A 19341-nucleotide genomic window follows, 5' to 3' on the forward strand; every position below is an offset into this window, starting at 1 on the left:
CTGCGACCTCCGACTGGGGCCGCCCCGTCCCCTTCAGGGCCGCCCGGGCGTCCCCGCGGCGCGAGACGAGCTCCCGTCAACCTTGCGCGCCGGGCCGTCCCCGCGCCCTTGCCCGGAGGAGTCGCCCACCCCGGGCGCAAGCGTCCAACCGGCCGCAGACACCCTGCGCGGCTTGCGGGGACCTTCGCCTCGACGCGTTCCACTCCCCGGGTTTTCCTGCTCTCCGGGAAGCCGCGAGGGCAACCTCGGGGGGCGGCCGTGGGGCTGGGAAAAGGAGGAAGGCGCGTGGAGCCGGCGGGGCGGCGTAGGGAGATTCTGCGCGAAACTAAGCGTCAGGTGCTGGAAGAAAGCGCTGCGCACCGGCTACCCCGCAGTTCAGGGAAAGGGCGGCCGCCGGACGGTCGCAGTGCAAAGCTCCAGCGCGAGCTTGGTGGGTGGGGATTCCTTTTTTAACGAAAATAATTTTTAATACAGGTATCTAAATAAATATAATTCATGCCACAGAGGCCGCTTTCCTGGCCGTCCCATTCCGGCCCGCCTGCAGCAGAGAATGCCTTTCCTTCCCCGGACTGCATAGCAGGGCTTCCCTCAAAGAACCAGAATCAAAGGGCAGGAAGGGGGCGCAAAGATCAGAGTCCATCCCTCTTGAGAGGAGCAAACGGAGGCTTGCAAAGGTGAAGTCCCGCAGCGAGTTACAGACCTACCCGTATCCCCAAACTGGGGCCTCCAAATCCGTCCTGGAGACAGAATGAGGATGCTGCAGCCCCAGCAAACCCTTCACCATCATTCCTTCTCCCTCTGTACCCTCTCACCCCGCCCCCACGCGCGCGTCCCTTCCCCACCTAACCTCCAAATGCCCCAGTGACAGGCTTACCAGGAATACCGGTTATCCCAGTTGTGTCCCTGGATCTGTCCCTGTCCAGATAAAGCCATTCGGTGGCCTCCTGGAGGGTGAGGTGAATGACTAAAGAACACCAGACTCTAGCCTTGGTTGACTTCGTTTTAATCCTGCTGTGCCAAACCAACCCCTGGGGCATACCAGCCCCTTTTGCCAGTAGGTTACCTTACCCTTCTTAATCTCACGAAAACCCTGGTAGTGGATCCTACATATTGAAACTCCAACCAGATGCCACACCTTGAGCACAGGCCAGACTGACACCCAGTAGTGAAGGGAGCCACGCATGAGTATGTGCCCTGTATCTGCACTCTCAATCAGGAGCCCCAAAGGTCTACGGGGTGGGTGCAGCTGGATTCGGTTGGGATGTGGTCTGGTGAGTAGAGATAGGGGTTACAGTTTAACTACTGCTTTTCACTGCTTTTTGCCTTTTCAAGCCCTCTTTTTTCCTTTCTTTCACACGACATTCAAGTTCTTTCTCCCAATTTAGAGAGGTTTTGGTTTGCTAACCGTGGAGAATAGGGTCATTTATACATGCATCCTTGAGAATAAACCAAAGTATACTCAGATGAGTGAACTAAAGTGAAGGAGTGAACTGGTAAATAAACCCCTCCACTTTATGGCGATCCCTTATTAGAGATGAATTTTTTGACAGGTCCTCAACAAGGCACAAAGGATAGTGATAGTTTGCACATTTGTCAGAGTGTGTCTCAGCAACAAGGACCTCCAAGTGCTTTACATTAATTATTACATATTATAAGAAGGGGTGTCATGCTGTCCCCAACTTCCAGGTGGCTTTTTAAAAGTTCGGTTGGTTAAAAAAAAAATTACTTCCCGTAGACACTGTTTAAGAAGTATTTGTGGAAAGAGTGGCTAAGTCAGCATATACCTCAAAATGTGATATGGAGTCTCTGTTCTCCATTGTCACCAAGGAGTCCCCAGAAGCCAAAACCGAGAGAATGTTATAAAGAACAAATGGGATACTGCAGTGAAGCAAGTAGGAAAGATACTTTGGAAAGAAAACAAGCAAGGTTCATGACATTAAAACCAGTGAGTGAGCTGTGGAAGGGGAATCTTAAATCCTAATTAATGAGAATAGTTGAGATATGTTAGTTGGGGCTTATGAAATGGAAAGAAATTGAAAATGAAAATAGAATAAAAATCCTCAAACTATTCAGAAAGTGCAAAATGACAGAATTCTTTTGGCTTTGACATGCTAGGTTACAAAGCACCGCTTTAATCACAAGACCCTTCGGGCTCTTCCTCCTTCTGAGAAAACATTTGACCAGTTGAAAATTAAGATTTCTTCCAAAAGTCATATATATGTTTTTGAGAACACAGAACATACAACATTCCCATCAATTTAATCTAACTAAGAAAGTCATGCAAGTTTTAAGTCAGTTTACAAAAAATAGTAGATACCCTAAAGACCATGTGCCAATTCATTTTCAACATGTTTTAAAGTTTGTAACTAGGTTAACCACCTTTTTAAAAATCCCAGCCAGAATAAAATGTATATGGCTATTTAAAATTCATTTAAAGTGTTTATAGTTGGGAAATAAAAACGGTTTTATCATTTCATTTTTAAGTTGTCTTTTCACTTACCGGCCAGGCATCCTCAGTTTCCTCTGCCATATCAGATGTGCTCACCAGGACAAAGGCAGAATAAAGAATGGTCACTATTCCACTGCTCTGAAGAAAAAAAGTAATAGGGTTATCACCAACTATTACAGGAAGGGCTCCAATCCAGGACTGTGCTTCTGTTGGATGTGAACCTTTTTACATTAACTTAGGAGCTATAAAGCCACGTTTCCATTCAAAAATCTTTCTCAGTGTTACAGGCAAATTTCAAGAACGGTTTTATATTTCTATAATATGAATGAATGGCTCTTGAGAAGTTTAAGTTCAACATCTACTTTAAATTACAGACATCCTATTGAAAGATAAATATCCTCCCAGGTCTTCATTTTGTTTGAACATTTCAAATAGATTTGACCTTGCGAAGTTTCTTATGAATGCTGGCTCTCATTGGGGGTGCTCTCTTGCTTCCTCTCTCTCATACACACACACACACACACACACACACACACACACATATACACAGTAGTCTACAGTTTCTAGTTGGAAAAATTAAATACAGAATTCAGAAGATTCCAAAAGAAATATACTCCTAAGGCAAATCCATAGAGACAGAGAGCATATTGGTTGTTTTCAGAGCCTGGGAGGAGGGAAGAATAGGTAGTGACTGCTTTATGGGTGTGTAGTTTCCCTTTGGGGTGATGAAAATGGTCTGAATCTAGATAGTGGCAATGGTTTTGCCACAATGTGAAATAATAAAAGTCACCAAAATGGCTCAAGTGGTGAATTTTATGTTATGCAAATTTTAGCTTGATTAAATATATATATATTCTTAAAAGGAAAGTTTGCCATTTTTCAATAATGGTATTGATTGAGATAAATGTAGGCCAAATGTAGTCTCAGGAGATCTTAATCAAATAGAAAGAGACTGTAGAAAGAAAAAAAGAGAAGTCTTGTCCATTACGCTGACTGGAAACTAAAACATGGAACTAAGTTAACTGTTTAGTTTTCTCCATATACAGCCAGAAAATACATAAAATTCTATTTAATAAATATTTCAGTCTCTTAACTTTTGCCGTGGATCGTCACTTTTGCTGTCTAATCTAACTCTCTCATGTTACAATGTCAAGTCTGTTCTCCTGTATTCTGTCTGAATTCATTAAAGCGCAAAACAAATGCTTGGTATCACCACAACAGTATCCCCTTCACGTTCTCCAGATGCTGCTCAGCCTTGCCTTCCTCAGGTTGTATAAACAGGGATGGATTTCCCAAGTGTTCAGTTATTTTAGCTGGTATTCTCGATGCCCTTTTCAACAGCAATTTGATTGCAAGCCCCTCACAGAAGACAGCACAGAACACCTCATCCATCTAAGCAGAGTTCCTGTTAACACATTCTCATATCTTCAATCTTCCTTTTCAGACACTCTACACTGTTTCTAAGCAGCACCTTGAAGCTGATCCCTACTAAGCTGGCCATAAACATATTCATGAAGATTGCATTTTGCACTGCTGTCAAAAAGTTCAGAGTTCCTTAATGTTTTGTTTAGGACATAGTTCATGTTTCCAGTGCAAGAGTCCCTGTTTCCAGCTCCCTCCCCACCCCAACCTCTTAGTGGTATGATCTTTGTGTTTGTTCTTCTGTTTTGTTTTTTTTTTCCAGTAAATACTACTTCCATACTGCTGATTTTTCCCTTATCAAGTCTCACAAAATACCCAATTATTACAGCATGTCAATTATGAGTGCAACATAGTAAAAGATAATGATGTCTCTCAGTCATAAAATCCCTAGACAATATCCTTAGTCTTGGGTCCTTAATTTGTGCTCACACAATAGTGTAATAAGGAAAATCCTAGAACTATAAAGACTTTTATCATGTGACCTGGACAAAGCCCTCTTCTCTGATGCAATTAGGAAATACTGGCTACAGTAATTATATCAGCATTTAAGAAAAGTTAAAAATACAGTATGAAGGCCCCTCCCAAGGATGTCTGTCAGAAATATTTCATTGCAGTGTTATCTACACTGAATCAACATATATAACAATAGACACCATATATTTGGAGCACTATACAAGTGGAAGATATGACACAAGGTGCTTATCAGATATTATTTTATTTTCACAACGGCCCTATGAAATAATACTGATATTATCCCCAGTGTACATATAAGGAACTGAGACTCAGAGAGGTTAAATAACTCACTAGAGGTCACTCAGCTAGAGAGGAGCAGAGCTGGGATTCAAGCCTAGACTTGTCTGATTGCAAGGCCTTTGTTCTTTTTGCTTTGTTATTCTGTCTCTTACCTGTCTAATAAGCTTGGAACAACACAGGTGATGCCAATAAGCATAAATATGGCTTTTCCTCCCTACCGGCTCCCTTAAAGATGACAGGTACTCAGGTACCAAAAAGACGTTAGAAGTAACTTAGCGCTGATGGTGGAGGCCAGCATAAAACCAGGGCCGTAGTGGTGGGAGGTACCACTACCCCCTTGGTTGTGTGGGAACCACTTAATACCAGGGGCTGTCGGAGGGTGTCAGTGTAAAGCCTGCTGCCCGAATCCAGGTGATAGTCTAGCTCCGCTTCCAGAGCACTGTATGTTCATAAGATGAACAAACAACCTATTTAATGTTGCCCAAAGCTCAGTTTTATACTTTGAGATATGACAAGGGGAAACTAAGTAAAAATGAAATATTTTGGAGTTTGTCCATGTTTATTTTCAGACTGCTTACTACTGAATTTTGTAATCAGTATTAAAAGATGCGGGAGTTGGGATTTTATAAAAATATTTTATTATCTCAAAAATAGTCAAAAGGAATTTCTTGGCACTGTACAGGGAAATAAGTGATAAAATTTTAAAGGGGACATGAGAAGTATAGATTTTACAATATGAAGGAGGTTATTTTTAAGCTATTTATAAAGCAGCATTAGATACAGATTTATTATTCAGTATAGAAGATGAGTTTTTCTATGGTACCAGAAGAAATGTATTTTTGAGAATCATTTTTTTATATTTAGTAAATGTTCTACCATAAAGAAGAAGAATATTTGCACAGGTCTTTTCAGTTTTCAATGTGCTTTCATATTTTCTCACTTAATCCTCTAGTGATTGTACAAGGTCTTTGATCAAGGACATTGTACATCACGTCAACCCCAAAGGTCCATTGCCTGTATGTGTGTGTCCCTCTGGAGGTAGGGAAGGTTTTTAGTGATAGGGGTTGGTGATTTGGTGTACTATGGGTTTGGAAAAGGAATTGAGTTAAGGAGAACTTAAGGGGCTGAACACAAAAGATCAGGGTTTGGAAAGAAAATGGGCAGCATGGTACATCAGAAACAAGCTTCGGATTAGAAATCAGGAGAAAGAGTTCCATCTTTGCTAATAAGCAGCTTTGTGTCTTTGGGCAACTTATTTGACCTCTAGCTAAGCTCTATTTCCTCATTTGTAAATTAAGGCAATAGTTGGTCCCTAAGATCAGATTAATCAAATTTGTGATTCAATAACAGTATCTATGGTTATTATTTTCCTCTTAATGTTTTTCTATATAATGAGCATGTATTACTTGTATAATGAGCATATATTATATATACAGAAACAAAAAGATTAATTTAACCTTTCTGAGGCTTTAATTCTTCAAACACAAGAAGGCTTTATGCCGCCTCAACCTTTGAACAGGGCTAACTGTAAATTTTCTTCAAGGATGCTGATTTATAAAATGCTAATTAAAGTTTTAAAAATGTGAATTGCAATAATAGTTTTTAAAGAAATTTCAATATCTTCCTAACATATATAGGTATTATTTTATTTAAGATGAAAATGGGTGATGATTTTCTATTCTTTTTTTTTTTTTTTTTTTGAGATGGAGTCTCGCTCTGTTGCCCAGGCTGGAGTGCAGTGGCACGATCTCGGCTCACTGCAAGCTCCGCCTCCGGGGTTCACGCCATTCTCCTGCCTCAGCCTCCCAAGTAGCTGGGCCTACAGGCACCCGCCACCAAACACGGCCAATTTTTTTTTTTTTTTTTTGGATTTTTAGTAGAGACGAGGTTTCACTGTATTAGCCAGGATGGTCTCCATCTCCTGACCTCGTAATCTGCCCTCCTCGGCCTCCCAAAGTGCTGGGATTACAGGCGTGAGCCACCGTGCCCGATGATTTTCTATTCTTGATTTTGCACTTGATATCATTATTATACCTCTGGGGAATTTTGAGGTACTCATTAAGGCAACATATGATCCTTGTTTATTTTCAGGTTACTTTATCTGTCTCCTGGATCCAAATAGTCATAACCTGGAAAGTAATATCACCAAGCAAGGACCTTGGTTTGATAACTGCTTTGGTGTTTCTGCATTTAAATTAACTGCTTTTTGAGTTGTTTAGTTCATCTGTTACCTGAAATGTAGCAATGCATATTTGAAGTTTTGCTTCCTGAAGAACATCACATTTACGTATGAAGACTGATTTTCAATATACACCTATAGAGTTGCCAAAAACATACAAAATAGGTTGCTAGAATTGATTGGCAAAAATATCTTTGAGGTTATAAATCCCAAAGAATGTGTCTGTGAACATGTAGGTTTCATTTGACTGTGGAAGTCCAGCTGAGGCTCGTTTTAACTTCTTCACGGATTGTTTTCTTAGGCTTACCTGAGTCTCCACCAGCACTGGCTGCGAGCTTCCCCTTGTCTGTCCCCGCCCTTTTTTTCTGATACACAGGCATGGCTTCTTATTATTCTGTGGCAAGATCAACATGTAATTTCTTGTGGTCATGAGGTATATGTTTTTTGTATAATCTACTTTGTATTTGCCTCAGCATTAAGATGGATCCAGCCTTTGATTAAAAACAGTAAAGCAACCTTAGGAAATCACATTAGAAAGCATTAATGTTTTGACTAATTTAAAAATGCAAACAAAAAACACCTAGACTATAATTTTCAGTTTATAAGGAGGTAGTGTATCATTAAATGAGTTTAGTTTCTTCTTAGTACCAATTACTCTAGAGATTTCTAATTTGTTTGTCCTTATGATGTGGAGCCTACTGCCTTTAAGGTTAATGTGTACTGATATAGAATGATGGTTGTGGTTCAGTCTTTCATAAGGTGGACCATCTGAGGTAAAGTTGAACACCAATGGTAAAATGGTTAAAGGTTTGTATTTGTGTCACAGAAGTACCTCTGTACTACTTTTTTTTTTTTCAAATGGAGTCTCACTCTGTCGCCCAGGCTGGAGTGTAGTGGCACAATCTCAGCTCATTGCAACCTCCGCCCCCAGTTTCAACCGATTCTCCTGCCTCAGCCTCCTGTGTAGCTGGGATTACAGGTGCCCACCACCATGCTCAGCTAATTTTTGTATTTTTAGTAGAGATGGGGTTTAACTATGTTGGCTAGGCTGGTCTCAAACTCCTGACCTCAAGTGATCCGCCACCTCGGCCTCCCAAAGTGCTGGGATTATAGGTGTGAGCCATGTACTACTTTTTAAAAAATGTCTCACTTTACAAGCAGTTGACCAACTCAAACAAGACTGTAATCCTAGCAAATTAAATGTATTAATCTGCCTATTGTGAGGTGATAATGAGCTGATGATTGGATATTTAGGAAATAATTCCTCACCAAAGTCTCACAAACTGCATTAAATTGGTATCTTCCTTTACTTGATTGTGCTATCTGGCCCTAGGGAAAATCTGGTTCTTTTTCTCTTTTCAAGCTGTTCACATTTTTCAAAGCACAAGTATATGACAACTCTTCTGACTTCTTGTGTTCACATATTTCAGAGACTTCTCATCAGTGCCATTTGTCTCAAATTGCTTTGCAAACCATAGCAGTATATAAAATCACCACTGTAAAAATGTCCCAGAAGTGCCCTAACTGTGCCTTTTGGTCAAATTAACTAGCTATTGCCTTCATATAGAAGATCAAAATAACTAACACTTCCAGTTCTCTGCCAAACACATTCAAACAAAGGCAGTTTGGCTACACAACTAAACCTAAAAGTTCCACCACAGATATAAACTGATGGTTCAACACACAAAAGCGTGGGTAAGCATTTCTGAGGAATACTTACAAAGATTACTGGTCAAAATCTTTCTCTAATTAATTTAGCTATATATGTATGTCCAGGTTAGCCCTGAGTGTAAATATTGTTCACATTGTCCCTATATAACTCTGTCACACTCTCAAGAGAAAGAAAACTTCTCTACTGTAATCAATTGGTTTAGAAATTAAAAGAGGGAAGAAGAACCTTCAGGTATTTAATCTAGACCTTTTTTGATTGATACATAATGAATGTACATATTTCTGGGCTACATGTGATATTTTGATACATGCACACATTGTGTAATGATCAAATCAGGATAATTGGGATATCTATCACCTAAATATTGATCAATTCTCTAGGTTGGGAAAATTATAAATCTTCTCTTCTAGCTCTTTTGAAGTATACAATAAATTACTATTAACTATAGCCACCCTACTGTGCTATGAAACACTAGAACTTATTTTTTTCTATTAAACTGTATTTTCATTCCCTTTAACCAACTTCTCTTCATCCTTACTCCCCACTACTCTTCCCAGCCGCTAGTAATCACCATTCTACTCTCTACCTCCATGTGATCAACATTTTTTAACTCCCACATCAGTGAAAACATGCAATAATTTTCTATGCCTGGCTTATTTCACTTAACATAATGTCCTCCAGTTCCATCCATATTGCTCAAATGACAGGATTTCATTCTTCTTTATGGCTGAATAATATGTGGTTTTATATATACATATACATTTTCTTTATCTATTCATCTGTTGATGGACACTTAGTGTGATTCCATTTCTTGGCTATTATGACTATTGCTACAATAAACATGGACATGCAGATATCTCATCAATGTACTGATTACCTAGCAGTGGGATTGCTTGATCATATGGCAGTTCTAATTTCAGTTTTTTGAAGAACCTCCATAAGGTTTTCCATGACTGTATTAGTCAATTTTCCCACTGCTATAAAGACGTACCTGAGACTGGGTCATTTATGGAGAAAAGAGGTTTAATTGACTCTCAGTTCTGCAAGCTGTACAGGAGGTATGTCTGAGGAGGCCTCAGGAAACTTAAAATCATGGCGGAAGGTGAAGAGGAAGCAGGCACAATCGTCACATGGTAGAGCAGGAGATAGAGAGCTAAGGGGGAAGTGCTACACACTTTTAAACAACCAGATCTCATGAGAACTCACTCATTATCACAAGAACAGCAAAGGGAAGTCCACCCCAATGATTGAATCATCTCCCGCCAGCCCCTCCTCCAACACTGGGGATACAATTCCACGTGAGATTTGGGTGGGAACACAGAGTCAAACCATATCAATGACTGTACTAATTTACATTCTCACCAACAGTGTATAAGGATTCCCTTTGCTCTACATCCTCACTAGCATTTGTTATTGTTTGTCTTTTTGATCAGGAAGATAATAACCATTCTAATTGGGATGAGATGATATCTCATTGTGGTTTTGATTTGTATTTCCTTTATGATTAGTAATGTTGAGCATTTTTTCATGTACTTTTGGCCATTTGTATCTCTTCTTTTGAAAAATGTCTATTCATGGCCGGGCATGGTGGCTCACGCCTGTAATCCCAGCACTTTGGGAGGCCAAGGCGGGTGGATCACCTGAGGTCAGGAGTTCAAAGCCAGCCTGACGAAAATGGCAAAACCCATCTCTACTAAAATTACAAAATTAGCCAGGTGTGGTGGCATGTGCCTGTAATCCCAGCTACTCAAGAGGCTGAGGCAGGGGAATTGCCTGAACCCGGGAGGCGGAGGTTGCAGTGAGCCGAGATCACGCCATTGCACTCCAGCCTGGGCAACAACAGTGAAACTCCATCTAAAAAAAAAAGAAGAAGAAGAAGAAAAATGTCTGTTCAGATCATCTGATTATTTTTAAATTGGATTTATTTATTTACTTATTTGCTGTTGAGTTGTTTTGAGTTATTTGTATATTCTAGTTATTAATCCCTTGTTGGATGAATAGTTTACAGCTATTTTGTCCCATCCTGTATGTTGTTTTCTTTGCTGAGCAGAAGTTCTTTAGCTTGATGTAATCCCATTTGTCTATTTTTGCTTTTGTTGCCTGTGATTTTAAGGTATTACCCCAAAAAAATCTTTACTCAGACCAATATCCTGAAACATTTCCCCAGTGTTTTCTTTTAGTAGTTTCATAGTTTCAGGACTTACACTTAAGCATTTAATCCATTTTGATTTGATTTTGTATATGGTAAGAGATAGGGATCTAGTTTCATTTTTCTGCATATGGATATCCGGCTTTCCCAGAACCATTTATTGAAGAAAACGTCTTTTCCCAGTGTATGTTCTTGAAACCTTTGTCGAAAATGAGTTCACTGTAGGTGTGTGGACTTGTTTCTGGGGTCTCTATTCTGTTGCATCTGTCCATGTGTCTGTTTTTATGCCAGTACTATGCCTTTTGGGTGACTACAGATTTTTAATATATTTTGAAGTCAGGTAGTATGATATCTCTAGCTTTGTTGTTTTTGCTCAGGGTTGCTTTGGCTTTCTGGAGTCTTGTGTGGTTCCATATGAATTTTGAGATTGCTTTTTCTAGTTCTGTGAAGAATGTCATTGGTATTTTAACAGGCATTGCATTGAATCTGTAGATCACTTTGGGTGATCTTCCATGAGCATGAGACATCTTTTCATTTTGTGTGTGTCCTTTTCAACTTTTCTCATCAATGTTTTATAGTTTTCCTTGTATAGATCTTTCACTTCTTTGTCTCAATTTATTCCTGGGTATTTTATTTGTTTGGGTAGCTATTGTAAGTGGGATTGCGTTCTTTATTTCTTTTTCAAATTATTAACTGTCGGCCAGTAGAAATACTGTTGATTTTTGAACATTGATTTTTGTATCCTGCAACTTTACTTAATTCATGTATTGGTTGTAACAGGTTTTTGGTGGAGTCTTTAGGTTTTTCTCAATGTAAGAGTATGTTGTCTGCAAATAGGGATAATTCTTACTTCTTCCTTTCCAATTTGAATGTCCTTTATTTTTTTTTTCTTTGAACATAAATTTTATCTCCTGGCTCAGCTATTAAGAAATTAGACACTATTTTGTAAACCATTCCCAGGAACAGGACTATAAATGCCAGAAGGAATTAACCTACATTCCATTGACCCAAGATTCAGACTCTGACTTTGGGGCAAAAGGGTAATTTTTAAGAGATCATAGTGGTTTGCCTCCTGTCTTTAAGGAAGTGGTATGGCATAGTAGAGGGATGTGCTGTTTGACTCTAGACAAACCTGAGTTTAATCAAGACTCTATTTCTTATTAATTATGTGATAAGATTACCTAAGTTTCTGAACCTCAGCTTCCTTTTCTGTAAAATGGAAATAGTAATGTTTCCTTGCATAGTTAATGTAGGCTCATGTGAGATGCCACAAAGAGAGTGCCTGGGACTTGGGGAGTTCTCAAATGTTAATTTACTTCTCACAGACAACTTAGGAAACTGCTGGAGAGCTATCTTTTCACTGATCTCTGTATTTCCTGAATCTGTGTTTTGCTTTTTATAACGTGGTTTTCACTTCCTATCTGAAAAAATAATTCTATTTGTCTACATTATTTTATTTGCCTCAAAAATTTGTTTTTCAAACTTTCAGAAAGCAATCTTATTTTGAGTACCTAGAAGTTAAGTTCATACTTACTGAATCTCCGTTCTTTATAATTTCATTGACTTCAATCATTCGTTTTTAGAGTCTTCATGTTTACTAATTAGGGGTCAGCAATCTTTAAAAAACTAAGGATCAATCTTCCTTTTGATTTGTTAATGAGGTGGCTAGTACTGACTGGCCAAATCTCCTGGCTAATTTCACAAATTGAGGTGGCAAATGCATGTAGATCACCTGCCTTAAAAGCTTTGGGGATAAGGGGGAGAGGGGTTACAAGTTAGCCACAAACTGAATAACTGAGGCCTATTCACTCAGACTGCAGGAGATGTGTCTATCTTGCTTCGCATTATGTTTCTGGTGCATAGCACGGTGCCTGTCACATAGTTGTTGCTTAAGAAATGTTTGATGACTGACTAAATGAATTAATGAGCAAATAGATGCCACAGAAAATCAGCCCATGTGTAATTATTGATAATATGCTGTAGGATACAGGTGCCTTGTTATATCAGTTAGGAATGTTTTCAGTTGCAAGTCACCTAATAGTGGCGTAAACAAATGAGATTTATTTCCCCACACAGTTTGCAAGAAGGCAGTTGTAGGTGTGTTGACCCAGTGGTTCTATGATGTCAGGTTTAGAGTCTGTTGGACTTTACAGAGTTGCAAGATTGTTGCAGGATTTCCATGCATCATGTCCTTCTCTAACCATATTCAAAGGCAGAAGTAGCTATGAGTACAGGGCAGGGAGCCTCCCTTAGTAGCCCCTTCTTTTATCAAAGAGGAAAATATTCCTGAGGAGACCCACAGGGGATTTTCCCTTCACTTCACTGAACAGAACTAGTCATATACCTGCTCTTAGGCCAGAAACTAGGATCACTTTCCTTGAGATTATAGGCTCTTCAAGTAACATCTAATAGAGGTTCTGCTAGCAAGGAGGAATTAGTGGGGATGGCTTTTGGCAACATGGCAAGACCCTGCCTCTACAAATAAATTTTAAAAATTACCCAGGTATGGTGGTGCATGCCTGTAGTCCCAGCTACTCAGGAGGTTGAGGCAGGAGGATGGCTTGAGCCCAGGATGTTGAGGCTGCAGAGAGTGGTGATCACTCCACTGCACTCCAACCTGGGTGACAGAGCGAGACCCTGTATCAAACAAACAAACAAACCCCAGTGTTCTGTTGATATTCCTTGGCTATAACTAGACATAGAATTGATGCTTTTAGTTATCACTGCTAAAGTGGAATGCTGAACTAAAGAAGTGCTGTTTAATTAAATGCCATGTATAATTCAAGGAAAAAGACTAATAACGCTTCTGAATTTTCATCAGTATCTGTGATTTTGCCAGCATTTTTTGGTATTACTTATTATTTAAATGGCTATTTGCCTTATTAAGAGAATAAAAATTTATTTCAACAAATAGAATTAAATTAACATCTGGATTTATTTTGAAAATGTGTTTCTTTTATTGTGAGCCTAAGAATATCTAGAGTTTCTGTTTGCCCTACTAATCAGTGTCCACAAGAAAATAACGAAACAAGATGTGAAAAATTCAAACAGCTTTCTAGTATCATAGTATGATAGAAGCCCTAGATACCTCACCTAGTATCTAGTATCATAAAAGCCCTCAAAATAAATGGGATCCAGCCTTTTAAAATTTAATTTAGTTAAACTACTTGTTTGTGAAAACACGAACTTGGTCTCAAGTTGCTGTTTTCAGTTTCAGCAAAGTACAAGGTTTTAGAAAATAGTAATTCATAGGGTAGCTATGACAGGTTTTGCTGCTTTGTGAGGTACTCCAAATTGTTGTTATTTAAGTGATGGGCATCAAATATCAAAATACTAAAAATTGGGCCAGGTGCAGTGGCTCATGCCTGTAACCTCAGCATTTTGGGAGGCTAAGGTGGGAGGATCACTTGAGTCCAACATAGTGACACCTCGTCTCCACAAAAAAATAAACAAAATGAGTCGAGTGTGGTGGCATGTGCCTGTAGTCTCAGCTATTCAGGAGGCTGAGGGAGGAGGATCACTTGAGCCCAAGAAGTCGAGGATGCAGTGAACTATGTTCATGTCACTGCACTCCAGCCTAGATGACAGAGCCAGACCCTGTCTCAAAAAACAAACAAACCAACAAATAAAAAACCTAACAACAACAACAACAACAACAACAAAAGCCCTAAAAATTGCCTGCATCATGTAAGGGGTGTCAGGTGAAAATTCCTCCAAAAGAAAGCATTTATTTCCAGTAATTTTTGTATGAGTGTTTAAGATTATAATTTAGATAAAAGAGTTTTTAAAACATAATTTTCCATTCCCTATCAAACTCTGTCTCCAAATGTATCTACATTTATATTTTATTAAAGACAGATATCTATCAAAGTATAGCTACCAAACCAAAACACTCATTTCTCCTTTTTTAAAAAAAGTCAATACATTAAAATTAAAGGTTATTTATTTTTAAATGTTATGTGTTGTAAAGGACAACCACTGAAAATATCTTATTTATGAGTGGGTCTTTCATATTTTTAAGAGCTTTTGCCAGTTAATGTAACAAGTCATCATCATCAAATAACTTGCTTGACCACTCTAGTAAATATTAAGCATTTATTTAGATATGAAAGTGAAGTTTACAGGATGTAAGATTTTCCTGGTAAGATTGGGACACTTCCACAGAATGCAGGATGGGTGTCGCCCTTACAGTTTCCTAGTAAGTAGATTATATAAAATCGGAATAGTTTCAAATTTGGGGTTTTTTTTCTCTTTTATCTGTTCTCCGACTTTTTTTTTAGAACTTATATTCCACACTACAATTGATTAAGTTTTACATGTTTAGAATCTATGTAGGAGAATATCATTTATAAATCTGTGCTTATGAAATGAAACCTATCTCCATCAAGTTGTCACTGAGCATTAGAATCCCTGGCTGGCAGTGGGCTGGTTGTTTAATTGGTTAGTAGGTTCATTTGTTTATTTTTGATTGGTGATTTTTTTCTTTATATTTATAAAATTAAGACACAAACTCCAAGAACAGTTACCATTGATCATTGAGCATTTAAAAGTAGGATCTGAGGATTATAAGTGTTATGGGTTGAATCATGTCCCCCACCAAATTCATATGCTGAAGTCTTAACCTTCAGTACATCAGAATGTGACCCCATTTGGAAATAGGATTAATGCAGATGTCATTAGTTAAGAACAGGCCATATTGGAATAGACTGGGCCCCTAATCCAATGTCACCGCTATCTTATAAAAAGGGAAAATTTGGATACACACACACACATACACACACGAAGAAAGCCATATGAAGATGAAGGCAGAAATCTACAAGCCAAGGAACTCCAAAGATTGCCAAAAAATCATCAGAAGCTAAGAGAAAGGCATGGAACAGATTCTCCCTTATATCCATCAGAAGGAAGGAGTCAACCCTGTCAACAGCTTGATCTTGGACCTCTGGTCTCGAGAAATGGAAGACAATGAATTCTGTTGTTCTAAGCCACCTGGTTTGTAGTACTTTGTTATAGCAGCTCTAGAAAACCAGTACAGTAATTAATCATAATTAAGCTTCTTGCATCAGAAAGAAATAACGTTTGACTTCTCCCAAGCATTGTTTTTCAGCATCAAACACAAAGTAAATGTGATTGTGCTTTCTGAAACAAACCACTCATCTCATTTCTACCACTCTCCTTACCATCAATACATTATAATTCTTTGAAAACTAGTTAATTTTGGTTATCAGTTATATATGCTTAATATTAATGTTTCATATTGCAGAAATACCATAATGTGACACTGATATTGAGTATACATAAGTAATCAAGGAAAAATTAGCATTCAATAATTACAAGAAATTCTAGCATTACAACTAAAGTGCTACATTTTTTACATGAAAAAACATTAAAGCCTCTATATTCCAGGAGACTATTTCAATAATAAGAAAATTAGGGTGGTTGAAGACTAATGATTTAAGGAATGTCTTTCCTTCTTCATAAAGTCAATAAGGGCAAAATTCACAATATTTTCTTTCTGTTCTATGGGTTAAAGATTTAGATATAATATAGAACAATGTATGGTCACTTGTCAGATGACTAGAGGCCCCACTTCAATATTCTAAAATCTAAGGCCAAAGCCAAGAAATAAACAAGACTTTGTTAGGGCATGGTGAAGTTATTGAGGGAGGTTAAACTCTCCCTTGAAAAAGGGTGGTCCCCACTGAAGAGAAAGGGGAAAAGGAAAGGGGAGAGAGAGAGACAGAGAGAGAGAGAGAGATAGAGAGAGATTGACTCTCAGCACCAGCACCACCAAGGAAAAGAGAACTATTTGGTTGGTGCAAAAGTATTTATTTTACATATACTAATTCATTTAGTCTCACAGTAAGCCCCGTGAAGTAGCCATAATTATTATGCCCCTTTTATAGGCAAGGAAATTGAAGTTTAGAACCCTGGGGAAATTTTTTTTACTAAATTTTTAGACCTAAAAGCTAAGAAACTAAACTGTTGACCAGAAATAATCCTGTAATGTGCTCTACCTTCTTATATCTGGCTTGAAATATCCTCAGCAGTCATTACCATAGAAGATGCTACCTGTGCTATCTCAGCAATTCTCAATTCCCTCTTGAGAATTAGGATAGAATTTTTTGCAAACAAATTTATTATTATTATAATAAACAAAATTACATCTTCTCAGCCAAGTGTAGTGCATGAACCTATAGTCCCAGCTACCCAGGAGACTAAGACAGGAGGATTGCTTGAAGCCAAAAGTTCGAGGCTAGCCTAAGCAGTGTACTGAGACCTGGTCTCTAAAAAAACTTTTAAAAATATATCTTCTCAGAGCAACTATGAATGGGTAAGTCTCCAAGATGTCATCTCCCTAGCATCCAAAAAAACTACAGATAGAGCAAAGCAACTTGAAAATTTAGGGCATATAGATTATGTACAATTTTGTGTCCACACTATTGCATTACTGTTTCAGAAGCAGTGTTCCTAAGATGTCAGTTTCATCAGTGTGAAGTTCTTTTGCAAGTAAGCACTAGATATTCAGAATCCAAGTATAGTCATACATCACTTAACAGCAGGGATACATTCTGAGAAATTCATCATTAGGCAATTTTGTCATTGTGCAAACATCATAGAGTGTACTTAGACAAACCTGGATTGTATAGCCTACTACACACCTAGGCTATAGAGTATAGCCTGTTGCTCCTAGGCTACAAACCTGTACAGCATGTTACTGTACTGGATACTGTAGGCAGTACTTACACAGCAGTAAGTATTTGTGAATTTAAACATATCTAAACATAGAAAAGATAATGCATTGCACTATGATTTTACAACAGCTAATGACATCACTAGATGATAGGAATTTCTCAGCTCCATAGTAATCTTATAGAGCCACCATCATATATGTGGTCTGTCTTTGACCGAAGGGTCATTATGTGGTACATGACTGTAATCAAACCTTATCCACAGTATAAGAAAGGGCCTTCACATATTCCTTGGAACCACTGTAGCACTTCAAAATGTACAGCAAAAGTTAAATTTGAAGTGCCCACCTTTCATGTATAAATCTCCACATCTTTAATAGATGAAGTGAAAATAAACACCAACAAAATATAAGCACAGAACAGTTCCCTATATGCAACTTTTATCTTTGATAAAAAAGACATTTAAATTTTATTACTCTGGGCCCAGCGCAGTGGCTCATGCCTGTAATCCCAGCACTTTCGGAGGCTGAGGTGGGCAGATCACTTGAGGTCAGGAGTTCGAGACCAACCTGGCCAACATAGTGAAACCTCATCTCAACTAAAAATACAAAAATTAGCTGGGTGTGGTGGCATGCACCTGAAATCCCAGCTACTCAGGAGGCTGAGGCAGGAGAATCACTTGAACCCAGGAGGCAGAGATTGCAGTGAGCTGAGATTGCGCCACTGCACTCCAGCCCGGGCTACACACACACACACACAAATTATTACTCTGGCCAGAAAAATATTTTTTAAAGTGCTGAGACTATAGAATCAAGCATTCTGTCATATTATCAGTGTTAAACAAATAGAGATAAATTAATCAGAATGGAGAACAATGAAGCAAGGTAAAGTGAAAAGTCATAGGAAAATACTTAGAATCTTCAAATGGGACAGTTTTGACATAGAAAATATTCACTAAATATTTTTAAATGAATGAGTGAATGATTAACAATAAATTTTAAAGCTCTCAAAAAACAACCTCTATTATTTAATATTTGTTGTATGACACAAAGTTATTTGACACTATACAAAAGCTTTTGTCTTATTTTCCCTCTTAAATAGAGGAACAACATCTGGATATTGCCTGTATGAAAAAATGGCTTAAAGAATTTAAGATAGAATGCAAGCTATTTCAGGCAAGCTCTCCAGTTTCTTACATCCATGAGAATTCTTTACAAAAACAAACAAAAATCACAAGATGCCCTTCACCTGATCTGCATCAGATTATCATAGCACAGATTCCAGGGCTGGCTGGCTTACCCTTATCTTCAAAATGAACGATGTTGAGAACTCAAGATAAATATTCAAAGGAGACATGCTGTAAAGAGAAAAGTAAAGGGGAAGAATTTAGTTTGCCTTGTCAAAACAAATTGTCCACTGGATTTACCTTCTAATGAAATAAATGAGCCATGTCTAGATAGGCACAATGTAGAGAAAGGTTTGTTGTTGGTTGGTTAGATCATTTCATTGGAAGACATTCAATATTTAAGAAAAGAAATGTAGTTGCATAATCCTCTAATTGTCAAACATGAAGAATATTCAAGTATGGTGTAAATTTTTTATTAGTTAAAGAAGACTTTGCATAAATGTTAACTGTTCTGTTATTGGTAGCAGTGCACATTTTTTCTTGCCACATCCTCATATTATCTTCCTGCTCAATTGCCTCCTTAATAGTCTCTTACAGCCTGTGAAAACTGAAAGAAAAGGTTTTAATGACTACTATGTAAAGTAAAAATGTTAATTACCTTCCAAACAAACATGAAAGGATAAAACTAACAGCACATCAACTAGGTGGGGGCAGAGAAAATCCTCTGTACTTAGGCCAATGATTCTTTAGACCAAGTGAAGATGCTGGTCATTCCCAACATGAGGAAGAGAACAAGGACGGGATCAGCAACAGCCCACAGCCTGGAAAATGGGAAGCTTCTGTATGTTATGAGTCTGAGCTTCATAGGAAAGCTTCATTATCCTATCTGAATTATTTTA

At 38.3% G+C, this 19341-nt stretch overlaps 1 annotated feature.

Moving 5' to 3' along the window:
* Positions 37–206: a silencer, noted in NCBI's record as "silent region_12171". NCBI's record gives its function as "represses an Ori minimal core promoter by ATAC-STARR-seq in GM12878 lymphoblastoid cells {active_cell/tissue: GM12878}" and the evidence as "EXISTENCE:reporter gene assay evidence [ECO:0000049][PMID:35858748]".

This window comes from Homo sapiens, chromosome 2 (assembly GCF_000001405.40).
Source record: "Homo sapiens chromosome 2, GRCh38.p14 Primary Assembly".
Taxonomy (NCBI): Eukaryota; Metazoa; Chordata; class Mammalia; order Primates; family Hominidae; genus Homo; species Homo sapiens.